Source organism: Homo sapiens, chromosome 1 (assembly GCF_000001405.40).
Source record: "Homo sapiens chromosome 1, GRCh38.p14 Primary Assembly".
Classification (NCBI taxonomy): domain Eukaryota; kingdom Metazoa; phylum Chordata; class Mammalia; order Primates; family Hominidae; genus Homo; species Homo sapiens.
The window spans coordinates 32,970,711-32,996,339 of NC_000001.11; the positions used below are offsets into that span (position 1 = coordinate 32,970,711).

A 25,629-nucleotide genomic window follows, 5' to 3' on the forward strand; every position below is an offset into this window, starting at 1 on the left:
GAAAGCTAATTTTAATTAGATGTCACATGAATATTGAGGCTCCTAGCTCCTTCCTCTGGCCTCAGAAGTCACCTCTACCTGATGTGATCTCCATTTTTCCCTGTGGATCATGAGCTTCTGTGCCTAGTCAGCCTGATCTGGGTCACCTCCTATTTTCTGGGTCTCCTGGCCTGTCCTCTCTCTGCCTGCCTCAGGGAGTGGCCTCTTTATCCATCTGGAAGTCTTCCTGCCTCTGACCTGTCCTCTGATGCTCACATCGAAGTCCTATCTGTTTTATCTCCAAAATGCTTATGGAATCTCACCCTTTGTTCCTGGGTTTACATGCACTGCCCTGTTCAAGCCTCATTATCTCTTCTGCTTCAATTTCGGCTCCAGCTCCTCAACTGGTCTCTTTTGTGAAGCCATTGGCTCATGTCTACCCCTACTCAAAAACTTTCTCCAGTTCCCACTGCAGAAAGCCTCATCTTCTTGCATGCCTCCTGGACTCAAGCCATTTGGCCTTCTTTATGTTATCTAACTAAGTATGCCCAGGATTGTTAAGCCTCGCTTCTTGGCAAATGCTGGTCCCTCTGCTTCTTATGCCCTTCCTATCCCTCTCCACTTGGTGTAATCCTGTGCATATTTCAGGCTCATTTCCATGGTTACCATCCACCTTTCTACAGTCAGACCCACCTCCCTCCATCCTTTGTGTCCCCAGGGTACAGTGTAGATAACTCTAGAGTTACATGTAGTACTAGGGTATCCACATACTTTACTGTCCAAAGCAGGACATTTGGAGGGATGAAAGGGAATGCTATTAATTTGCTCTAGTTTAACAGGTGTCAATTGATCTGTTCCAGGCAAACTGGAAGATATGATCACCCACCTACACCCAACATCGCTGTAAAACCCGCAGTTGATGCTTTCATTTATCTCATTCATTGCTCTCAACAGCCATGTGAGCTTGGTATTGCTATCCTGTTTTCAAGATGAGAAGATGGAGCCTCAGAGAGAGGAGACTTGTGGTCACACAGCCAGCTCATCATATTCTAAATCCTGGACTCTGACTCCATCCTTGGCACCTCCAATACCACAGGGTCTTGTCTGGGTTAGTGACATGTGGACTCTTAAGACAAAGAGGGAAGGTAGAAATGGAAACTTACTCATTGCATGCACTGGTCTCTGTCCAGGGCCTTGTGTAGCAAAGACCTCAGGACATGTTTGTTGGATAGATGACTTCTTTTTTTGTTTTGTTTATAGACGGTGTCATGCTATGTTGCCCAGGCTGGAGTGCAGTGGCTATTTACAGGCAAAATCATAGTATGATACAGTTTCAAACTCCTGGGCTCAAGCAATCCTCCTGCCTTAGTCTTCCAAGTAGCTGGAACTACAGGCTTCATGACACCAAACCCATCAGATAGGTGACTTCTTGGGGATAGATAAACTGTGTATTTTACTTAAAATCTGTGCCCCTCCCCAGGACTTGTTTTACATGGATTCATTCATTCAATCAATTAATTAACATTTAGTGTGTACCTACTATGTGCCTGGTACAGTGTCGGTGATATAGCAATGAGCAAAACAGACAAGGTCACTGCTCACATGGAGCTTACAATCCAGTGGGAAAAACCCTTACAAAAACAATCATACAAATAAACATACAGTTACAAATCAGGATAGATGCTAAGAAGGAAAAATACTTGGTGTGAGGTGTAAGAAATATTTTGGAGGTAAATTTAATAGGTTTTGGTCATAGATTTGATTGGGGACAGCGAGATGGAGATGGTTCTCAGGTTTTTGCTTGAGACAGAGAAGAGCATTTTGGGGAGATAAGTGGGGCTGGATGTGTGGGACTTGAGGCATCTGTCGGATTTCTCTTTTAATCTTTGCCACCTCCAGCAGGTTGATTTACTCAAAGCTGAAAAATTACAGCAAGTAATGGAAACCTGCAAATAAAGCTGGCCTCCAGGTAGGTAAGGTAGAAAGAGGGGCAGGTGTGGGAAGTCAGGAGAAAAGCAGAGAAGGGAAGGGGGACGAGAGGTGTTCATGGAGACAATAATCAGACCTCCCAGACAATAATCAGACCTCCCGAGACAATAATCAGACAATTGCTCCCACACAATAATCAGACGTCCCAAGCTCCCAATAATCAGACCTCCCTAGGACTGCGGCGATACCGTGCGTTTCACACTGCGGAACGAGCACGGCTCGCGTCTTCCCTTGCCCGGGGCAGGGCCAGCGCTTTCCTTGGGCACTCGAACGAGGGGAGGGGGCCGCTTAGTGCCTGGAAATCCGAGCAGCCTTGGCTTGCTTGGCTGCGCAACCCGCCAATCCGGCTGCGCCCGGTGGCGGTGCCATGTGACCAGCCTCCCTTTCCCTCCCTGGCCTTCCAGGGAAGACCGGCATCCCCGCAGTGCCGCCACCCTCGCCATCCCGCCCCCGCCCCTCGCGTGCCGCATCCGCGCGGGAGAGCGCCCGGCGAGGGGCCGGGATTCCGCCGCGGTCCGCTACGGCGCAGGGGACGGGAAGGGAGCGGAGGCGAGCGAGTTGCTGCCGCAGCTCCCGCAGTGTTTTCTGTCAAGGTCAAGCATACCCACTCTTTGACAAGGCTGCCTCCGAAATCCCTCCCTTGCAGTCCTCCCAGCCGTTCCCACCGCCTTTGCCACTCATCCGGCGGCAGCCGTCCTCGGACCACTGCCCCTGCCTCTCACTGGGCTTCCAGCAGACACAGCGGGGGATGGGAGGGTTTCTTTTTTTTTTTTTTTTTTTAATTTTTATTTATTTATTTATTTTTTTTTTTTATTGATCATTCTTGGGTGTTTCTCGCAGAGGGGGATTTGGCAGGGTCATAGGACAATAGTGGAGGGAAGGTCAGCAGATAAACAAGTGAACAAAGGTCTCTGGTTTTCCTAGGTAGAGGACCCTGCGGCCTTCCGCAGTGTTTGTGTCCCTGGGTACTTAAGATTAGGGAGTGGTGATGACTCTTAACGAGCATGCTGCCTTCAAGCATCGGTTTAACAAAGCACATCTTGCACCGCCCTTAATCCATTTAACCCTGAGTGGACACAGCACATGTTTCAGAGAGCACAGGGTTGGGGATAAGGTCACAGATCAACAGGATCCCAAGGCAGAAGAATTTTTCTTAGTACAGAACAAAATGAAAAGTCTCCCATGTCTACTTCTATCCACACAGACCCGGCACCCATCCGATTTCTCAATTTTTTCCCCACCCTTCCCGCCTTTCTATTCCACAAAACCGCCATTGTCACCATGGCCCATCTCCAATGAGCCGCTGGGCACACCTCCCAGACGGGGTCGTGGCCGGGCAGAGGGGCTCCTCACTTCCCAGTAGGGGCGGCCGGGCAGAAGCGCCCCTCACCTCCCGGATGGGGCGTCTGGCCGGGCGGGGGGCTGACCCCCCCACCACCCTCCCGGACGGGGCGGCTGGCCAGGCAGAGGGGCTCCTCACTTCCCAGTAGGGGCGGCCGGGCAGAGGCGCCCCTCACCTCCTGGATAGGGCGGCTGGCCGGGCGGGGGGCTGACCCCCCCACCTCCCTCCCGGACGGGGCGGCTGGCCAACCCCCCCCCCCGCCTCCCTCCCGGACGGGGCGGCTGGCCGGGCAAAAGGGCTCCTCACTTCCCAATAGGGGCAGCCGGGCAGAGGCGCCCCTCACCTCCCGGACGGGGCGGCTGGCCAGGCGGGGGGCTGACCCCCCCACCTCCCTCCCGGACGGGGCGGCTGGCCGGGCAGAGGGGCTCCTCACTTCCCAGTAGGGGCGGCCGGGCAGAGGCGCCCCTCACCTCCCGGACGGGGCGGCTGGCCAGGCGGGGGGCTGATCCCCCCACCTCCCTCCCGGACGGGGCGGCTGGCCGGGCGGGGGGCTGACCCCCCACCTCCCTCCCGGACTGGGCGGCTGGCCGGGCGGGGGGCTGACCCCCCCACCTCCCTCCCGGACGGGGCGGCTGGCCGGGCAGAGGGGTCCTCACTTCCCAGTAGGGGCGGCCGGGCAGAGGCGCCCCTCACCTCCCGGACGGGGCGGCTGGCCAGGCGGGGGGCTGATCCCCCCACCTCCCTCCCGGACGGGGAGCCTGGCCGGGCAGGGGGCTGACCCCCCCTCCCCCCTCCCGGACGGGGCGGCTGGCTGGGCGGGGGGCTGACCCCCCACCTCTCTCCCGGACTGGGCGGCTGGCCGGGCGGGGGGCTGACCCCCCCACCTCCCTCCTGGACGGGGCGACTGGCTGGGCAGAGGGGCTCCTCACTTCCCAGTAGGGGCGGCCGGGCACAGGAGCCCCTCACCTCCCGGACGGGGCGGCTGGCCGGGCGGGGGGCTGACCCCCCCCCACCTCCCTCCCGGACGGGGTGGCTGCCGGGCGGAGACGCTCCTCACTTCCCAGACGGGGTGGCTGCCGGACGGAGGGGCTCCTCACTTCTCAGACGGGGCGGTTGCCAGGCAGAGGGTTTCCTCACTTCTCAGACGGGGCGGCCGGGCAGAGACGCTCCTCACCTCCCAGACGGGGTGCGGCCCAGCAGAGGCGCTCCTCACGTCCCAGACAGGGCGTCGGGGCAGAGGCGCTCCCCACTCAGACGATGGGCGGGTCAGGCAGAGATGCTCCTCACTTCCTAGATGGGATGGCGGCCGGGCAGAGACGCTCCTCACTTTCCAGACTGGGCAGCCAGGCAGAGGGGCTCCTCACCTCCCAGACGATAGGCGGCCAGGCAGAGACGCTCCTCACTTCCCAGACGGGGTGGCGGCCGGGCAGAGGCTGCATTCTCGGCACTTTGGGAGGCCAAGGCAGGCGGCTGGGAGGTGTAGGTTGTAGAGAGCTGAGATCACACCACTGCACTCCAGCCTGGGCACCATTGAGCACTGAGTGAACCAGACTCCGTCTGCAATCCCGGCACCTCGGGAGGCCGAGGCTGGCGGATCACTCGCGGTTAGGAGCTGGAGACCAGCCCGGCCAACACAGCGAAACCCCGTCTCCACCAAAAAAAAACGAAAACCAGTCAGGCGTGGCGGCGCGCGCCTGCAATCACAGGCACTCGGCAGGCTGAGGCAGGAGAATCAGACCGGGAGGTTGCAGTGAGCCGAGATGGCAGCAGTACCGTCCAGCTTTGGCTCCGCATCAGAGGGAGACCGTGGAAGGAGACCGTGGAGAGGGAGAGGGAGAGGGAGAGGGAGAGGGAGAGGGGTTTTTGTTTTATTTTTAAAGAGGTTTTTTTTTTTGAGCGGGAGGGTTTCAATAGATTCTGCCCCGCAAGCTTCCCAGCCACCTTTCTCATACCTACAGCTCATGGTGTGTCGCCCTGCCTTAAACCCCACACTGGCTCCCCGTGCCCGATGAGAGAGCATTTAGATCCTTCATAACTAAGACTCACCTTCACCCTCACCAGTCCCACCGCCTCCTTGCACGGGAGACCCCATCCCTCTGGACCCGGGGCCCTTCCAGGGATAGCCATCACTTGCATACTTGCGACTGCTCTTGCTGTAGGGTCCCCTTTCCCCCTTTGTGAACCTAGCGAATTCCTAGACCCTACTTAATTATAATAAAGCAACAGAGGGTAGAAACTGGCACTAAAATGCCGCTTAGCAAAGGTCACAAAGGTGAAAGCCTGCAGAAGTCAAGCAGGAGAGAGAAATACGGCTGGTGTATCAGGGGCATAAGAAAAACCTGTCTTGCCGGGCGCGGTGGCTCACGCCTGTAATCCCAGCACTTTGGGAGGCCGAGGTGGGCGGATCACGAGGTCAGGAGATCGAGACCATTCTGGCCAACACGGTGAAACCCCGTCTCTACTAAACACACACACACACACACACACACACACACACACACACACACACACAATTAGCCGGGCATGGTGGCGGGCGCCTGTAGTCCCAGCTACTCGGGAGGCTGAGGCAGGAGAATGGCGTGAACCCGGGAGGTGGAGGTTGCAGTGAACCCAGATTGCACCTCTGCACTCCAGCCTGGGCGACAGAGCGAGACTCCGTCACAGAAAAAAAAAAGAAAAAGAAAAACCTGTCTTATGGCATGAAGTACAGTATTTAGAAAGAAAAAAGAAAGGAAAAACCTGTCTAAAGGGCAGGGAGTCCGCTCTTCATTTAGGCCAATATGCTCCTTGGGAGAAATGTGGGTCTTATGATGCCAGATTTTCTGAATTTATAAGAAAAGCCACAAATCCGGACTTTTATGTGTAATCCATCAATTTTTAAATGTTGATTTGATTTTTTAAAAACAGCCGTGAGCCAGATGCATGTCATAAACCCTTAGCGCATTACCTCCACCCTTAGAGAAGAGGATGGCTTTCATTAGGAAAATGCTTTGGAAAACCAGGGTAAAGGTCTTGAATGTCTGAGAGGCAGCTGTTGTGGAGGCAACAAAGAAGAGAAGGCCAGGCATGGTGGCTCACACCTGTAATCCCAGTACTTTGGGAGGCCGAGGCGGGCGGATCACGAGGTCAGGAGTTTGAGACTAGCCTGGCCAACATAGTGAAACCCCATCTCTACTAAAAATACAAAAATTAGCCAGGGGTGGTGGCACGCGCCTGTAGTCCCAGCTACTCGGGAGGCTGAGACAGGAATATCGCTTGAACCTGGGAGGCAGAGGTTGCAGTGAGCCAAGACCACGCCATTGCACTCCAGCCTGGGTGACAGAGTGAGACTCCGCCTCAAAAAAGAAGAAGAAGAAGAAGAAGAAGAGAACTTAGATTTGGATATGTTCCCCAGTGGCTCTGAATGTTTTAAGCAAAAGGTCATACATACACTGAGAAGCTACTGAGGGCTCAGAGATTCTACCAGAATCTGGAGGACTGGATTTGGGAAATGGGCAGGACCCGAGGGTTCTGGGGAGGGGTGGACAGCAGGAAGCCAGAGAGGGCCAGAATGACAGCAAATGTTTCCTCCTATCCTTGTGCGGACTACATGAAGGCCAAAGAGGAGCCCTGTAAGGCTTTCACTTGATGATGGTGGTGATGGGGAGATAGGAGAGAAAGCCAAGCCCCCAACCCTGAGGCTTCACACAGTGGGATAATGCCTGGAAGAGAAATCTGAGAGGTCCTTAGGAAGAGAGAGTGGAATGAATAGCCAAAGGCAAATTTCCTTTACCAGGAGACAGGAGCTGGCTTGTGGCTGAGGCCGGGGGCTGTGGAGGAAAGTAGAAAAGGCTGTCTTGGAAACTGGGAGTTGTTTTTGTTTTTGTTCACCCTGAGGTTTATAGCTATGATGTGAATGTCTCTGCCTCCTATCCCTGGAAATATTCAAGAAAGATCTATATTCACGGGGGCTGCCCTGACTGGAGTGTTGGTGGAAACAGCTGAAGGGGCCAACTTTTACATCTGTTTTGGTATAGTGCTGACCAAAGATAGTACAGACTGAAGTAGGAACGGGAGCAGGAGAAATAAAGCCTCCCGGGAATTTGCAGTAATCCTGGAAAGGGGTTTCGGAATGGGTGCTTGGGTCCATCCTTGGAAACCTTAAAAATAGGCTTCGTGTTATATAATTTTGTCCAACTGAAGGCTAGTGCAAGTCTTCTGAGCATGTTTAAGATAGGCTAGGCTAAGCTATGATGGTTAGGTTAGGTTTATCAAATGCATTTTCTGCTCACAATATTTTCAACGTATGATGGGTTTATTGGGACATAAGTTGAGAAGTGGCTGGGCATGGTGGCTCACACCTGTAATCCCAGCACTTTGGGAGGCAGAGGTGGGTGGATCACTTGAGGTCAGGAGTTTGACACCAGCCTGGCCAACATGGTGAAACCCTGTCACTGCACTCCAGCCTGGGCAATAGAGCGAGATTCCGTCTCAAAGAAAAAAAAAGTTGTATACATTTACTTGTGCAAAACACCGTATTAAATGCTACATACATCTGTTATCCTCACAGTGATTTTTTTTTTTTTTTGAGACAGAATCTTGCTCTCTTGCCCAGGCTGAAGTGCAGTGGCGCAATCTCGGCTCACTGCAACCTCCGCCTTCTGCGTTCAAGTGATTCTTCCACCTCAGCCTCCCTAGCAGCTGGGATTACAGGCACTCGCCATCATGTCCGGCTCATTTTTGTATTTTTGTAGAGACAGGGTTTCACCATGTTGCCAGCCTGGTGTTAAAATCCTGACCTCAGGTGATCTGCCTGCCTTGGCCTCCCAAAGTGCTGGAATTACAGGTGTGAGCCACCTCACCCGGCCCCCCACAGTGATTTATGAGGGAAGTACTATCATCATAACTCCCACTTGGCAGATGAAATTAAGGCCCAGAGAGGTGAAGTGACTTACCCAAGGCCACTGAGATAGCAAACAGTGGATTGGATCTGCTCTCCAGACAACTGCCCTACATGCCTGTAATTCCAGCACTTTGGGAGGCCTAACGGGGATGATTGCTTGAGGCCAGGAGTTCGAGACCAGCCTGGGCAACACAGCAAGATCCCATCTCCATAAAAAAGTAAAAAAAACCTAACTGGGCATGGTAACACGCACCTGTAGTCCTAGCTACTTGAGAGGCTTGGTGGAAGGATCACTTGAGCCCAGGAATTCAAGGTTGCAGTGAGCAGTGATTGTGCCACCATACTCCAGCCTGGGTGACAGAGTGAGACCCTGACTCAAAAACAAAACAAAAAACCACAATTGCCTCTAAAATACATCTCTCTAAACTAGCCCTCTTCTCTCTTCTGTCTTCTCTCTCTCTCTCATACACACACACACACACACACACACACACACACACACACACACACTCTGGGGGTGATGGGATTAATGCTGGTAGAACTGGTTTCTCCATCCTTCAGCATGCCTGGATGTAGTGGTCCTTGCCTCTGCCCCAAAGCCAAAATGACGGGAAACTTGCATTTAACATCTTGTTAAATATGCCTTAAAAAGAAATCCAGGAGAGTTAACCCAACTGTTAATAGTGATTATCTCTAGGTGATGAAGTTATATGTAATCTCTATTTTCTTATTTTTACTTATTTGCTTAAGTTTTTTTCTGCCATGAATTTATTAAGTTTTGTCATAAGTAAAAATAAATACATAAAATTATTCTCTATTTTAATAATTATCTGTGGTCCCACAGATGGAGGTATTTCTATTAAATACTCAGAAGGGAGCCGGGTGCAGTGGCTCACGCCTATAATCCCAGCACTTTTGAAGGCCAAGGTGGGTGGATCAGTTTAGGTCGGGAGTGGCCAAGATGGTGAAACCCCATCTCTACTAAAAATACAAAAATTAGCCTTTTCCTTTTGTGGGTGGTGGCAAAGGTGGACAGAAAGCCATGAAGGCCTTGGGCACACAACAAGAGTACAAGGTGGTGTGTCACTGCCTGCCCACCCCCAAATGCCACACACTGCCCCTCTACCACATGCAAATCTTTGCGCCTAATCATGTAGTCGCCAAGTTCCACTTCTGGTACTTCCTATCTCAATTAAAGAAGATGAAGAAGTCTTCAGGGGAGACTGTCAACTGTGGGCAGGTGTTTGAGAAGTACCCACTGTGGGTGAAGAACTTTGGCATCTGGCTGCGCTATGACTCCCGGAGCAGCACCCACAACATGTACAGGGAATACCGGGACCTAACCACCATGGGCGCTGTCACCCAGTGCTACCAAGACATGGGCACCCAGTACCGCGCCCGGGCCAACTTCATCCAGATCATGAAGGTGGAGGAGATTGCGGCCAGCAAGTGCTGGTGGCCAGTTGTCAAGCAATTCCACGACTCCAAGATCAAGTTCCTGCTGCCCCACTTGGTGCTGTGCCATCAGCAGAAGCCACGCTTCACCAGGAGACCCAACACCTTCTTCTAGGTACAGGGCCCTCGCCCGGCTGTGCCTCAAATAAACTCAGGAACACCCTGGTGGGGAAAAAAAAAAGTTAGCTGGGCATGGTGATAGGTGCCTGTAATCCCAGCTACTCGAGAGGCTGAGGCAGGAGGATCGCTTGAACCCAAGAGGCGGAGGTTGCAGTGAGCCGAGATCGCACCACTGCACTCCAGCTTGGGTGACAGAGTGAGACTCTGTCTCAAAAAATAAAAAAAAAGAAATACTCTCAGCAGGGGTTTGTCCTGGGCACTGGCATCACACAGAGAGGAAGTGAGAGCTCATCCAGGATTAAAAACAAGAATCACCATTTCTGAAGGATTCCTCTGAGCCCAGTTCCTTGTTCCTTCATAGCCATTGATATGCATATCTCATTTAATCCTCAAAATCAGTTTAGGAGAAAAATTATTTCACAGCTGAGGAAACCAAAGATCCTGAGACTTAGAGAGGTTACATTACTTGCCCAGGGACACACAGCTAGAAAGTGATGGAGGCAGGATTTGAATCCAGATCTAAGTGACTTCATAGTTTGTAAATTTTTAACCTCTGAACTTTGCCCTTCCAGTTGCAAGATGCTGATGCATTCCTGTATTTCCAGCTCTTCACACACAGGCACTCATCGATATTAGCACTGCCTAGAGAAGCCAGTGAGGTAAAGATCATTGTCCCATTTTCCAGGTGAGAAAATTAAGGCCAGAGAGGGGACTTGCTCAGTGTGGTCAGCTGAGAAGTAGTGGCATTCCTTCTAGAATCCAGGTCTCCTTTCTTGCCTCTGGCAGCCTTCCTCCTTCCTATACTTTCTGCCAACTGCTGAGGCTTCCGTCTCGAAACAAATGACTCAAGGTAAATCACTGGTTGGACTTCCCCTTTCTCAAAATACAGGAAGTCTGTGTTGTTTGCAGTCCCTGTGGGTGAACAGTTTCAGCTCAGTTACGAAGTAGGCTGGGCCACATAGAGGACTGGGTCCTGCTGGGGCAGGGTTCCAGGCTACTGGGGCTGGCACCGCTGCATTTTTCCTTCCTAAGAGTCATGTCAGTGTGTCTGTCAAGTCAGGCTTGACGTCTTACCCCAAAAAGCCTGCTGTACTATTATGAAATTTAGAAAAATGAGCCCAAGAGGGAGGGGCCCTGTCAATAATTAATAATAACAACTATTATTTCATGTTTATGGCACATTAACCTTCCTACCAGGCACTGTGCTAAGTGGCTGACACGTGAACCCATTTGAGCCCCGTAACAGCCCTAGTAATAAGGTTCTATAGCTTTGGAGCCAAATAACACTAGATACAAATCACAGAAATGCCACTTTCCAGCTGTGTGACATCAGGGACATTATTTACATTCATTCAGTAAATACTTTTGAGCACTTACTATGTGCCATATTTCAGTGAACAGAACAAAGATCCCTGCTCTCTTGTGATGTTTACATTCTACAAGGTAAAGCAAAGTGTAAACATAATAAATATAATAAATTATAAATACACATAAATAAACTGTGTTAGAAAGTGGTAAGGGGAAGATACAGTAGAGCAGGGAGGAGACAAGGAGTGCTGATGCAGCATCAGTGCAGGGAAGAGGCAGGATGAGTTGTTAAACAGTGGTGTCAAGGAAGGTCTTGCTGAGAAGGTGCTATGCATACAAAACTTTAAGGAGGTGAGGGAGTTAGCCATGTAGGTAACTGGGGAAACCCTTATTAAGCAGAAGGAACAGCCAAAGCAAACGCCCTAAGTGTGCTTGGTGGTTCCAAAGAGTAGCCAGGGCCGGGTGCAGTGGCTCACACCTGTAATCCCAGCACTTTGGGAGGCCAAGGTGGGCGGATCACAAGGTCAGGAGTTCAAGACCATCCTGGCCAACATGGTGAAACCCATCTCTACTAAAAATACAAAAATTAGCTGGGCATGGTAGCGCGCCCCTGTAGTCCCAGCTACTCGGGAGGCTGAGGCAGGAAAATCGCTTGAAACCGGGAGGCGGAGGTTGCAGTGAGCCGAGATCGCACCACTGCGCTCCACCCTAGTGATAGAGCAAGACTTTGTCTCAAAAACAACAACAACAACAAACAAACAACAACAACAACAACAACAACAAAAACAAAGAGCAGCCAGGAGGCCAGTATGGTTGAACAGTGAGCCAGGGAGAGAGTCCTCCCTACCCATAATGTTGCCCCAGTGATTCTTTCTTATACTTTGTTCTGTGTTTCCTTCCTTGCTCTTCTCATAATTTCCAAGTATTTAGTTTACTTGAGTGTTTGCTTATTTCTTGTTCTTTTCCTCCACTAGCCCTAAGTTCCTTAAAGTCAGAGAACATATTAGTTTTACTTGGTGTTGACCACAGAGCCTGGGACATAAAAAGCACTTAAAGTTGAATTAATGAATAAACCATCCATCCATCCATCCATCCATCCATCCATCCATCCATCTAGTCACAGTTATGATAGAATCTTCCCATCATGTAGATGGGAAATAGTAATTTCTCAGGGTAACTCTGGTTACCCTGAGAGTTCTAGTTCAGGACATTAGCAAGAGAGTTAAACTGCCTGGGTTCCAGTTCTGGTTCTACTGTTTACTGGTTGTGTGATCTCAGGCAAGTTAAGAAAAAAACCTCTCTGTGCATCAGTTTCCATATCTATCAACTGGCAAAATAGTAGTATCATTCTCTAAGGGAGGGTTGTAAGCAGTGTAAACAGCACCAGGGGTATAGTGCTTATGTATGTGTTTTCCCTATGCAGTCTAGCCATGAGCGTGAGGAATCCACTTCCTTCCTCCTGTACCAGATCCCAAAAGGGCAGAGAGAAGGGCAAGGGGTGCCACGGTGAGTGAGGCTACAGAAAATCCCTAATGCGTGCTGCCACATCTGTGCTGTGTGTTGGCAACTGGGGGTGGCCCTAGGGTCTTCACTGAAGTGGCATTCTGGGGATACTGTTCTTGATGTGTAGCCCCCAGCCTGATCCTCTGGCCTTTTTCTGCTAGACAATCTTTAGTGGAATCTTACTGCTTGCAGTTGAGAAAGTTGACTGATACAGATGTTAATACTGAATACCTATTTCTTTTTTTTCTTCTTGAGACGCAGTCTGGTTCTGTCGCCCAGGGTGGAGTGCAATGGCGCGATCTCAGCTCACTGCAATCTCCACCTCCCGAGTTCAAGTGATTCTCCCACCTCAGCCTCCCAAGTAGCTGGGATTATAGCACCTGCCATCATGCCCAGCTAATTTTTGTATTTTTAGTAGAGATGGGGTTTCACCGTCTTGGCCAGGCTTGTCTCCAACTCCTGACCTCAGGTGATCCGCCTGCCTCGGCCTCCCAAAGTGCTGAGATTGCAAGTGTGAGCCACCACGCGTGGCCCTGAATACCTATTCCTATGCCTGATACCTTACATTCATATTTTTATTTTTTTTTGAGATGAAGCTCCGCCTCCCGGGTTCACGCCATTCTCCTGGCTCAGCCTCCCGAGTAGCTGGGACTACAGGTGTGGCTAATTTTTTGTATTTTTAGTAGAAACGGGGTTTCACCATGTTAGCCAGGATGGTCTCGATCTCCTGACCTCGTGATCCGCCCACCTCGGCCTCCCAAAGAGTTGGGATTACAGGCGTGAGCCACTGCGCCTGGCCTACATTCATTATTTCATTAACTCTTTACACAGACCTGAGAGGCAGACATTAACCCCATTTTACAGATGAAAGAACCAGCTCAGAGAGGTGGAGTAACTTGATCAAGGTCATGTAGCCAATGACTGGCAGAGCCAGGGTTCAGGCCCAGGGTGATTCCTAAATTGCTCTCTCAATGTGATTAAAGGCCCCAGCAGGATTTTCTCCTCCAGCACTTGCTGTCGGTGATGACAGAGCACAGCTCAGCTCAGCCAGAAGGGAGGAAATCGTGTGAATCTCGTCCCTAAGCAAGAAAGAGAAATGGGTCGGGGCAGCCTGGGAGAGTTCTAGAACCTGGAGGGGAACTGACTGTGCCTAGCCTAGGTAAATGCTTCAAACATGAGGAGTCCTGTCCCTACTGCCCCTAAGACCAGAGACATTTTCTCTCTGAGGTCTGAGCCCAGCTATCGCTGAATGGCCTGATTCTCATGAAAATGTGGAGATAGAAAACATCTGGGGTGGCTGTGGTTGCCAGGCAACAACCAGCCATTCACTCTCTTGCCAGAATCAAGGAGGCTGTCTGATGCTGACAGAGATAGCTGCATCTGAGGCCTGGAGACCTAGATTTTGGTTCTGATTTGCTGTGTGGTCTGGGCAAGTCCCTGCCTTTCTCTGAGCCTTCATTTCCCATTTTTTATGTAAAGAGCAGTCAGACTTACAAGTGGCAATATGAGCAGGCATCAGATGGTCAGAATTAGAGTGATAGTGTGGCACAGGCAGAGGACCAGGGCAGGTCATGGGTGAGGGAAGACTCAGTTCTCCTTTCCATCCTGCCCTAGGCTATCCTGACTCTGGTTACTAGCTAGGGGCAAGGGACATTTCCTTTCCCACCCTGAGCTAATTCAGGCCACCCAGACTCCATCCCAGGCTCACCCTTGCAGCTCAGAGTCTAGGAATTGTCTTCATACCCACAAATTAGCACAGCCACCACCTACTTGGCCAACTTTTCCCCATGGGGAATTTCCTCAGTTCCTGCTGAAGTGAAGCTACCCAGCTTTGGGTGTTTCCCTGGACACCCATCAGAGGACCTTCTGACAGTTTGCAGAGATTGCATTGATGGTAAACCCTGAGGATGGTGTGTTTCGCAGCAATCAGCAGAGTTAACATTTTCTATTTCACATCCATTACAAAATATGACAGAAGCTGCCATTTGCTGGGCCTGGCACAGCCTCAAATGCTTTATGTCTGTAATCTCATTTAATCCTCATACAATCCAGGGGGATAGGAATGTAGGTCCTATTGTACAGATGAGGAAATGGAGCCTCAGAGAGGAGAAGTGATTTGCCCAAGGTCCCAGTAAATGGTGCAGGCAGGACTCCCACTCAGGGCCACAGTCTGGGGTTTAACCACTACAGGACACTGCTTCCTCACAGTCCCACCAGACAGCATCAGAGCTGGAAGGGCTCCACCTGCTCCCAACTTTACAGATGGACAAATCGAGGCCCAGAGGGAAGAAGTGACTGGCCCAAGGTCATGTAACAAGTCAATGCTAGAGCAGATTCTAGGACTGCTCTGCTAAAAGGCTCACCACACCATTCCAGAAAACAAAAAGTGCCTCAGGCAGAAGCAGTGGATATACCAGAAATCTCATTTTAAGAAATCCATAGCATTTCCTAGGAAGTCAAACAGTGCATGAGGTTCACAAGACAAGGATCTTGCAGAGGTTCTTGAGGTTAGGGCAGAGTCCCAGCATTCCTCTAGGCAGTAAGGGGCCTGTGGGTGTCACTCTTTTGGTCCTACAGATGAAGCTGCAACTCCAGCTACTGGCGGAGGTGATATGTATGTCCAGAATGTTCTCGACTGCCTTGCCTAGCTAATGCCTACCTGTCTTCAAGTGTTAGTTAGAAGTCACTTCCTCTGGGAAGGCCTCTGTGAACCCCTAAGCTTGCCCCACTGTAGATTCTCATGGCCCTAGCTCTTTTCCATAAGAGCACTGTCCTCGGTTTGCCCTGTGGACTCACATCAGAGGCACATTTAACTAACACCAGCTTTACAACTTATCCTCCAACCACCCAACTCCAAAGATGCCACCCCAGAATTTGGTATTATCCTCACAAAACCAAACTCACCTTTTAGCATGCGCTAAGCTGATAATGCTGAATATAGAAACAGATTGGAGTCACCCCTGCAGATACCAGGAGCACTCCTGAATTCTCTGCTCAATCTCAATGCATCCCTAGAGATGGGGTCATTTTCTTAAAGGCAGAGAGGCTTCAATGTCCAGGTATCTCAAGACAGCCTTTCCTTCAGTTACTTATTTTAGCATACAAAAGAATTTGAAGATGGAAGAGGGGACCACCAGCCAAGGAATGCAGCCCAAGAAGCTCGAAAAGTTATGAAAACCAATTCTCATTGAGCATACAAAATAATTGAGCATACAAAAGAATTATTGTGCAGTACAGGTAATTTAAGAGCTTTATTTTATTTTATTTTTTGAGACGGAGTCTCGCTCTGTTGCCCAGGCTGGAGTGCAATGGCACGATCTTGGCTCACTGCAACCTCTGCTTCCCAGGTTCAAGCAATTCTCCTGCCTCAGCCTCCCGAGTAGCTGGGATTACAGGCGCCCATCACCATGCCCAGCTAATTTTTATATTTTTAATAGAGACGGGGTTTCACCGTGTTGACCAGGCTGGTCTCAAACTCCTGACTTCAGGTGATCCGCCCACCTTGGCCTCCCAAAGTGCTGGGATTACAGGCATGAGCCACTGTGCCTGGCCTAGAATCTTTGTTTCTGTTTATTAATTGAGAAAAGGAAGTAACCATTTTAGTTAAACATGAACTTCAGAGTCAGAAAGATCTTGGTTCAACTTCTTCCCTGAGAAAACACCAAAGTGCAGATGACTGGTGCAGAGAGAGGACTCAGAGGCCCTTGGGGCCCTGGAATGGGAGGTCATAGTGGTTTCCACGGAGGCTTTGGCAGTGGCATTGGGGCCTGGATAGTGGTTGGGGTCAGGGCCTGGGCCATGGAGCTTGCAGAGGCAAGGATGAAGATGAGGAATGGATGCCTGTCACCAAGTTGGGCTACCTGGTCAAGGACATGAAGATCAAGTCCCTGGAGGAAATCTAGCCCTTCTCCTTGACCATCGAGGAGTCTGAGATCATTGACTTTTTCCTGGGGGCATCTCTCAAGGATGAGGTTTTGAAGACCACGCCCGTGCAAAAGCAGACCTGCGCTGACCAGCATACCAGGTTCAAGGTGTGTGTTGCCATTGGGGACTACAGTGGCCACGTTGGTCTGGGTGTTAAGTGCTCCGAGGAGGTAGCCACGGCCATCTGAGGGGACATCACCTGGTCAGGCTCTCCATTGTCCCTGTGCAGAGAAGCCACTGGGGGAATAAGATCAGTTAGCCCCCACACCATCTCTTGCAAGGTGACAGGCTGCTGTGGCTCTGTGCTGGTGTGCCTTATCCCTGCCCCACTGAGGCAATGGCATCACCTTGGCCCCTGTGCCCAAGATGCTGCTGATGGCTAGTACAGACCAGTGCTACACCTCAGCCAGGTGTATTGCGTCATAACAGAAAGAAAAAGTACTACCCCAGCAGAGAGCCCACAACCTAAGTACCCTGGAGCTGTAAGAGCTGAGAAATCAGCTGGACACGGTGGCTCACGCCTGTAATCCCAGCACTTTGGGAGGCCGAGGTGGGTGGATCACAAGGTCAGGAGTTTGAGACCAGCCTGGCCAACATAGTGAAACCCCGTCTCTACTAAAAATACAACAAATTAGCCGGGTGTGGTGGCACGCGCCTGTAGTCCCAGTTATCCGGGAGGCTGAGGCAGGAGAATCACTTGAACCCAGGAGGTGGAGGTTGCAGTGAGCCAAGATGGCGCCACTGCACTCCAGCCTGGGCAACAGAGACTCCATCTAAAAAAAAAAAAAAAAAAAAAAAGCTGATAAATCATGGGCATAGCATAACCCAAAGCTGCACTGCCACCTGGGCAACTTCGCCAAGGCCACCTTTGGTGCCATCTCCAAGAATTATAGCTATCTGACCCTCAACCTCTGGAGAGAGACCATATTCATCAAGTTTCCCTATCAGGAGTTCACTGACCATCTCATCAAGACCCAGACCAGAGTCTCTGTGCGGAGGACCCAGGCTCCAGCTATGTATACAATATAGAGTTTTGTTTTGTTTTTGTTTTTTGAGACAGGGTTGCCCAGGCTGGAGTGCAGTGGCATGGCCACAGCTCACTGCAGCCTTAACCTCCAGGGCTCAAGCAATCCTCCTGCCTTAGCCACTCCCTAACCCAGTAGCTGGGACTACAGGCATGCACCACCACCCCCAGCTAATTTTTTGTGTGTGTTTTTTGTAGAGACAGGGTTTTGCCATGTTGCCCAGGCTGGTCTGGGACTCGGGCTCAAGTGATCCGTATGCCTCGGCCTCCCAAAGTGCTAAGATTACAGGTGTGAGCCACTGCCCCGGTCAACGGAGTTTTTACACAAGAAAAAATAAAATGAATTAAGCCTGTTAAAAAAAAAAGATCTGGATTCAAAGATCTTGGTTCTGCCACTTACTAGTTATAAATAGTAATTTTAACTCTGAGAAGCCTCAGATGATGTTTTTGTTTGGTTTTGCTTTTTTAACTTGGAAAATGGGGATAACAGAACCTCCATTATAAGGTGGCAGTGACAAATAAATAAGATCATGCATATCAAAGTGTGGTCTCCAGACCAGCTGCATTAACATCACCTGTGAAGTAGCCCCACTTCTGACATACTGAATCAGAAACCCTGGGCATGGGGCCCAGCAATCTGTGTTACAACACACCCTCCAGGAATTCTGGTGTAGTTCAAGTTTGAAAACCACTGATATATATGTAATAAGCCTAGTACCCAATTGGCTTACTATTGACAGTTCTAGTATACTCCCTCTGAGATGTTGAGTTAGGTAGGTATCTTTTCCCCCTCATGTCCTACAAACACTGTATGTCTTAATATCTGGGTTGTCTGCTAATGCAATCTATCACCCACACAGCTGCCCTTTAATATAAGGTACTCTTCCCATCTTTCCTTGCATACTTGCAGTAATAGGTAGCTCACTATTTGGCTGGGTAGGGTAAACCGCCTGGTCAAGCCTGTTCATACAGGCATGCCAACTGCATATGCACTGTAAAGACCTTCCCCTAAAGGCCTCTTCTCCAAGGTCCCTCAGCTGTGCTTAGGTCTCTCTTTAGCTTCAGGGTAGCTCTCCTGTATGTCTGAGCCTCAGATAAGCTTGATCAGCCCTGAGGAGCAGGGGAGGTTTCCTTCTCAAATCTGGGACCATGTTTCTACTTGCTTGCCTGGTGTTTTGGCAGCCACTTCACCCTGCTGACTCACTCTGGTCTGAGGTCACGCAAAACCTCCAAGCCTTTTTCTCAGGAACTACAGGAACTTGCGTCGGCTGGGTCACTCCAGTCCTTGATGTGTGCAATTCATTTCTTAAAAATAACATTACTTTCAAATTATGAAAGACGTGCTTGATATAGTAAGTTAGGAAAACACAAAGGGAAAAAAACCTCACTGGTAATGGTCATCCTAAAATTGACATCTGATTTTCAAAAAAAGGATCCTATATTCTTGTATTCAAGAAAAAAAAAAAACCCACTTAAGCAATTTCCATTTCTGGGGTAAAGAAAAGAATCAGAGAAAATGAAACTAATGTACTGCAGGAATAATTGTGAATTCCAGCATATATGAACATCTCTTGTCTCATAATTCAAATGTACATCAATGCATAACAATGTAAACTCATCCCCCCCGAGACTACCATTGCTATTCTTTTGGATATAGCCTCCAGTCCTTTGCAGTTACCATCCTGTATTTTTTAACTTAACTCTAGGTCTAAATTTAGCACTGAATTTGGAGATAGACAAACCTGGTTCAAATTCTGGCTTTTGTACTTATGAGTTATACCACTTTGGAAATTCATTTAACCTCCTGAAGCCTCAATTTCCTCATCTGTAAAAGGGGGCTGATAATATCTGCTTTCCAGGTTTGTTGTAAAGATGGAAATTGAGGGCCAGGTGAGGTGGCTCACGCCTGTAATCCCAGCACTTTGGGAGGCTGAGGTGAGCAGATCAGCTGAGGTCAGGAGTTCGAGACCAGCCTGGCCAACATGGTGAAACCCCATCTCTACTAAAAATACAAAAATTAGCTGGGAGTGGTGGCGCATGCCTGTAATCCCAGCTACTCGGGAGGCTGAGGCAGGAGAATCACTTGAACTTGGGAGGCAGAGGATGCATTGAGTGGAGGTCGTGCCACTGCACTCTAGCCTGGGTGACAGAGTGAGAGTTCATCTCAAAAAAAAAAAAAAAAAAAAGGCCAGGCGTGGTGGCTCACGTCTGTAATCCCAGCACTCTGGGAGGCCAAGGTGGGCAGATCATGAGGTCAGGAGATTGAGACCATCCTGGCTAACACAGTGAAACCCCATCTCTATTAAAAATACAAAAAAATTAGCCGGGCGTGGTGGTGGGCGCCTATAGTCCCAGCTACTCGGGAGGCTGAGGCAGGAGAACGGCGTGAACCTGGGAGGCGGAGCTTGCAATGAGCGGAGATTGTGCCACTGCATTCCAGCCTGGACAACAGAGTGAGATTCCGTCTCAAAAAAAAAAAAAAAAAAAAGAAATTAATGAGAATAAAGCTTCTGGCACACAGTAAATGCCTTCGGAGTTTGTATTGGGCTTGTTACCGTTAACTCTTCATCTGGCCAACTACTGCTCCCTTCTTCCTCCAAGGCAGATGCTGTCCCCCTTTGTATCTTTCCCCACCTTGCTGCTCTCACACATCACATTCCCTCTCTGTCTTGCTGCTGTCCCATGTCTATCTTTGTGTTATAGCATCAGACACGACACAGTGCCCCTCTACCCTATAAGCTCCTCCAGGGCAGGGCCATGTCCACTTTATTCTTTTCTGTGTCCCCAGGGTCCAGCAGAAGGCATGACCCAGTGTGGCTGTCAGGTTAGAAGGGGTTGGATAAGAATTTGTGATGGAGGCCGGGTGTTGTGACTCATGCCTGTAATCCCAGCACTTTAGGAGGCTGAAGTGGGTGGATCACCTGAGGTCAGGTATTTGAGACCAGCCTGGCCAACATAGCGAAACCCTGTCTCTACTAAAAATACAAAAAAAAAAAAAAATTAATTAGCTGGGCATGGTGGTGCGTGTCAGTAATCCCAGCTACTCGGGAGGCTGAGGCAGGAGAATTGCTTGAACCCAGGAGGTGGAGGCTGCAGTGAGCCGAGATCATGCCACTGCACTCCAGCCTGGGCAACAGAGTGAGACTGCATCTCAAAAAACAAACAAACAAAAATAACATGTTGATGGAATGAATAAACTTAGAAGAGATTGAATGCATGAATGGACGAATGCATGAATGAGTCAGTAATAGCAGGTATCCACCAGCGGAATCCTCTTTCCCCTAGGGATAGAATCCTCCACCTCCCAGACTCCATCTCAAAAAACAAACAAAAAGAATGTGTTGATGGAATGAACAAACTTAGAAGAGACTGAATGCATGAATGAGTCAGTAGTAGCAGGTGTCATCCACCAGCAGAATCCTCTTTCTCCTAGGGAGAGAATCCTCCACCTCCCAAGGTGGGCCCTGCCACGTATGGGAGCAGGGCTCCTGCCTGGCACAGGCTGGGATGAGAGGCTCTGCCCCTCATAGCGAGAGTGTCGCTAGGGGCAGAGCCATCACGGGTCAGGGGTAAAGGGAGGGGGACACGGTGGGGCTGGAGTGGTGGGAGATTTGTAGCCCAGGTAGGGGGGTGCCCTTGCCTAACTTGGTGGGGCTAGAACCCGAGTACTGATGCAACCAAGCTGGTTTCCTACTGCAGCTGCACTCTGGCTCCCACAGTTTCTGTCACCCCATCACTGATGACTGAGGCGTGACCTACAGGAGGGCCTGGCCTACATAGCAGAGAAACAGAGGCCTTAGGGATAAGGGGCGGCAGCCTGGCTGGCTGGCCAATGAATCCAGGTCCAAGCTTAGCGGGTACTTCCTGCCGCCGGGTCCAGCGCCAGCCAGTTCACCTGCTGTGCAACCCTAGCTAAGACATGTCTCCTCCCCCCTGCCTCAGTTTCACCATCCTGGGGGACTCTTCCTGCTTTGGCATCATTAGAAGTCCTACCTCTCTCCCAGGCAATCTTCAAAAAATTTTCTGATAGCAGAACAAAAACCAAAACCTGATACTCGATACCTCTTTTGAGTCCACTAAGCAGCCCCTTAAGAGAAGCAGAGAGCTCAGAGTCAGGCTGAAAAGCTGTGTTACCCTAAGTTACTTCCCTCTCTTCAGTTTCCTTTCCTGTAAAATGGCCATTGATAATGACTATTTCCATCCCCACAGGATAGCTGTGAGGATTAAGTGAGCTGTTGGGTGTAAACTGCTTTGCAGGGGTTAGGAGCATTACTCTTACTCAGAGAGGCAGTAGCTTCAGGCCCAACCTTTCCTGAGGCCAGCCCCTGACACGCCCTCAGCTTGTGGCAGCAACAGAGATGGGAGGGCCTCCTGGGACATTCCTGAGCCTGGTGTGGCCACAGCTGAAGAAGCAAGTCTGCATATACTCTGTGGTGAGAGCCTGGCTGGTCTCAGGGCTTGCAGGGAAGGGAGTTTTTAGAGAAGGAAATGGTTGTGGTGAGACAGAATGATGGAGCAACTTCTTGGGGATCTGGGTGGAAAGCCCCCACTCCTGGTATGTTCTCATGGTGGGATGTGGAGCAGATAATGCAGCCCTGCACCAACCTCATTCACCATCAGAAAGTACCTGGTGTTCACCGACTGCTGGGCTAGAGCAGAAACAGGTTTTAACATGAAACCTCAGACCACTTGCCATTTCTGGGCCTCAGAACCTCCCTCCCCCCAAGCAATTACTAGGGTCATCTGGAGGCTGGTCCTGCCAGCCAAGCCTCTATTCCGCCACTCCAAGGGATGGGCCAGGAAAATAGCCTTTGGAGTTAGCTCCTGATTTGCTGGTGACATGGGATGTCCTTTCCCCTCTTTGGACCTCGGTACTGGGTGAGAGTGAAGTTGTATCTGGTTTGGCCGTGGCATGACCTTGAACCCAAGATACTGTGGCCATGCCAAGTATTTTGTAAAGTTTGGACTGTTGGACAGTGGAAAGGCCAAGTGCTGTGGAGGAATGAAGAAAACGCCCAGGACAGTTGAGGGCTTCGTCACTTTTCACTGAGCAGCTTGAAGGAGACCCAACCTTCTGTGTTTCCACTTCCTCATCAGCGGAATGGGGACATTTCTTTTTTTGTGGTTGTTATTTGTTTGAGACAAGGTCTCGCTCTGTCATCCAGGCTGGAGTACAGTGGCATGATCATGGCTCACTACAGCCTCCATCTCCTGGGCTCAAGCGAGCCTCCAACCTGTGCCTCCTGAGTAGCTGGGACCACACGCATGCGCCACCACGTCCAGCTAATTTTTGTTTTTGTAGAGATGGAGTTTCGCCCTATTGCCCAGACTGGTCTTGAACTCCTGGACTCAAGCGATCTGCCCACCTCAACCTCCCAAAGTGCTGGGATTACAGGCATGAGCCACTGTGCCTGGCTGGGACATTCCTCTTTAGGCCTCTCCTTCCTTCTCTGTAAAACAGGAGGCAGGTGAGCTTCCAGGGTCCTGGGCCCTGTGATTCTGCTTCTCAGCTGTGACCTTGGGCAAGTCAGTTCATCTTCACCTCTCCGCATCTTGGTTTCTCCATCTGTCCAATGGGTATTTTCCCCCTCCCCATTCTCAGAGTTGCTGAGCTCAAATGGGGTGATGAGCACTAAGGTGTTTTGAACAGGAAAAGTGAAAAGGGCTTCTGCAGGGCAGCTCCTTTGAAGCCCCAATCTCCTTGCCCTCACCTGTCCTCCCAAGAAGGTGTAAAGCCTTTTGTGGAGTTCCACCTAAAACAGAGGCCTCCGGTTAGCTCCTTCCTCAGACCCTGCTGGGTTATCTGACAGGCCCATAGCCTAACCTGGCTGGTGACTGGCTGCTTCTCTCTAGCTGGCACAGCCCTGGTGTCCAGGCTACGAGAGAAGAGGCCTGGGTCTCTGCCCAGTGGCTTCTGCAGCAAAGGGTTTTCTAGTCAGATAGAACAGGGTTTGAGCCCCAGCTCTGCCACATTTTAGCTGTGAGCTGTGATGGTTAGTTTTAGCCATTTTACAATTTGATGGTGTCAGTCCGACTGCACCATGGGATACCCAGATAACTTTGGACTTGGACTGGAACTAAACCACTCTCCTGGGTCTCCAGCTTGCCGACTCACTCTGCAGATCTTGGGACTTGCTGGCCTAGCGTGATATATATAGATCCTATTGGCTCTGTTTCCCTGACTGGTACAGAGGCCTTGGGCAATTTGCTGCTTCTTCTGAGTCTGTTTTGAAATCTGTAAAAAATGGAAATAATAATTCCTAGCACAAGGACCACTTTCCTGCTTTAGAATTCCCATTATTGGCTGGGTGCCGTGGCTCACGCCTGTAATCCCAGCCCTTTGGGAGGCCAAGGTGGGCGGATCACAAGGTCAGGAGTTCAAGACCAGCCTGACCAACAAGGTGAAACCCCGTCTCTACTAAAAATACAAAAATTAGCTGGGTGTGCTGGCACCTGCATGTAATCCCAGCTACTCAGGAGGCTGAGGCAGGAGAATTGCTTGAACCTGGGAGGCAGAGGTTGCAGTGAGCCGAGATCGGGTCACTGCACTTCAGTCTGGGCAACAGAGCAAGACATTGTCTTTACAAAAAAAAAAAAAAAAAAAAAAAAAGAATTCCCATTATTTACCGAAATGAACTCTAAATCTTCTTTGCAAGTATTTCTTTTCTTTTTTTTTTTTTTTTTTGAGACAGAGTCTCGCTCTGTCGCCCAGGCTGGAGTGCAGTGGTGCAATCTCGGCTCACTGCAAGCTCCGCCTCCCGGGTTCAGGCTATTCTCCCACCTCAGCCTCCCGAGTAGCTGGGACAACAGGCACCCGCCACCATGCCCAGCTAATTTTTTGTATTTTTAGTAGAGACGGGGTTTCACCATTCACAGGATGGTCTCAATCTCCTGACCTCGTGATCCACCCGCCTCGGCCTCCCAAAGTGCTGGGATTACAGGCGTGAGCCACTGTGCCTGGCCTTTTGCAAGTATTTCAAGGACATGCTCTGCTCTGTCCTGGCCCACCTTGCCAAAACTCATTTCATCCATCCCTGACTGGACACTCTCACTGGACACCATTCCCTTTCCAGCCTCCATGCCTTTGTACAAGCTGTTCCCTCCCTTGAAATATGCATATTCTCTTTAGTCTACCTGGTAAACTTACACGTCCTCAAGACCCATTTCCAATGTGTGCTCTTCTCAAGGCTTTCCCTGACTCCCCTAGGAGTTGTCTGTGCCCTCACAATGCCTGGCACATCCTTTGGCTATTGCATTATCCATGACACATTGGGGCTTGGGGTCTGTATGTCTCCTCCCTCCAAACTGTGACCCTTTGGAAGGCCTGGCTCCAAATCACTCATCTCCATATAAAACAACAGAGTGGTAGTTTCCCCTTCCTCGTGTTCTTTCAACATTTTTCAGTTTCTGGAGCACTTTTAAGATCCTTGATCTCACTTAAACTCATCACAACTCAGGGAAGGAGACAGAGCCAAGATTAAAGCCCCCAGTTCGTCCCACCTTCCTGGCCAGGGCTTTTTCAGAAAGGAGATGTCCAATGGGGAGTGGGGGTTGGTTCTTTGGTATCTAAGGTTTCCAGCTCAGCAGGAGTTAGGGAGGTTGGGGCCTGCAGGTTGGCAGAGGGTGCAAGGGCAGATGGAGGCCACAGGAAAGGGTCAGGTCTAGGGTAGGTAGGAAAGAGCTGGATCTGATTTCAGATGTATACCTCTGTGGGGCCTTAGGCAGCACTCATTTCTTCTTTTCCTTTTCTTCTCTCTTCCTCCTCTTTCTTCTTCCCTTCCTCCCTCCCTCCCTTCCTCCTTTCTTCTTCCTTCTACTCTTCATTTCTTCCTCCTCCTCCTCTTTTTTTTTTGAGATAGGGTCTTGCTCTGTCACCCAGGCTGGAGTGCAGTGGTGCGATCTTGGCTCACTGCAACCTCTGCCTCCCAGGTTCAAGTGATTCTCCTGCCTTAGCCTCTCAAGAAGCTGGGATTACAGGCATGCACCCCCACACTTGGCTAATTTTTGTATTTTTAGTAGAGATGGCATGTCACCATGTTGGCCAGGCTGGTCTCGAACTTTTGACCTCAAGTGATCCACCCACCTTGGCCTCCCAAAGTGCTG

At 50.3% G+C, this 25,629-nt stretch overlaps 2 pseudogenes, besides 8 other annotated features; both read left to right on the top strand.

Annotated features, from left to right (window-relative positions):
• On the top strand, positions 9,197-9,815 carry RPL18AP4 (ribosomal protein L18a pseudogene 4; annotated as a pseudogene).
• Positions 9,735-10,351: an enhancer, noted in NCBI's record as "OCT4-NANOG-H3K4me1 hESC enhancer chr1:33446046-33446662 (GRCh37/hg19 assembly coordinates)". NCBI's record gives its function as "activates a minimal SCP1, AML or CMV promoter by ChIP-STARR-seq in primed H9 embryonic stem cells {active_cell/tissue: H9 hESC(primed)}" and the evidence as "EXISTENCE:reporter gene assay evidence [ECO:0000049][PMID:30033119]".
• Positions 9,735-11,054: a biological region, named in NCBI's record as "BRD4-independent group 4 enhancer GRCh37_chr1:33446166-33447365".
• Positions 9,855-11,054: an enhancer, noted in NCBI's record as "BRD4-independent group 4 enhancer chr1:33446166-33447365 (GRCh37/hg19 assembly coordinates)". NCBI's record gives its function as "activates an origin of replication core promoter dependent on BRD2, P300/CBP, MED14 and CDK7 cofactors, and independent of BRD4, by STARR-seq in HCT116 cells {active_cell/tissue: HCT116}" and the evidence as "EXISTENCE:reporter gene assay evidence [ECO:0000049][PMID:35650434]".
• Positions 16,221-17,537, top strand: LOC100419257 (ribosomal protein S2 pseudogene; annotated as a pseudogene).
• Positions 18,479-18,738: an enhancer, noted in NCBI's record as "active region_702". NCBI's record gives its function as "activates an Ori minimal core promoter by ATAC-STARR-seq in GM12878 lymphoblastoid cells {active_cell/tissue: GM12878}" and the evidence as "EXISTENCE:reporter gene assay evidence [ECO:0000049][PMID:35858748]".
• Positions 21,503-22,019: an enhancer, noted in NCBI's record as "NANOG-H3K4me1 hESC enhancer chr1:33457814-33458330 (GRCh37/hg19 assembly coordinates)". NCBI's record gives its function as "activates a minimal SCP1, AML or CMV promoter by ChIP-STARR-seq in naive H9 embryonic stem cells {active_cell/tissue: H9 hESC(naive)}" and the evidence as "EXISTENCE:reporter gene assay evidence [ECO:0000049][PMID:30033119]".
• Positions 21,503-22,196: a biological region, named in NCBI's record as "NANOG-H3K4me1 hESC enhancer GRCh37_chr1:33457814-33458330".
• Positions 21,777-22,196: an enhancer, noted in NCBI's record as "active region_703". NCBI's record gives its function as "activates an Ori minimal core promoter by ATAC-STARR-seq in GM12878 lymphoblastoid cells {active_cell/tissue: GM12878}" and the evidence as "EXISTENCE:reporter gene assay evidence [ECO:0000049][PMID:35858748]".
• Positions 22,207-22,256: an enhancer, noted in NCBI's record as "active region_704". NCBI's record gives its function as "activates an Ori minimal core promoter by ATAC-STARR-seq in GM12878 lymphoblastoid cells {active_cell/tissue: GM12878}" and the evidence as "EXISTENCE:reporter gene assay evidence [ECO:0000049][PMID:35858748]".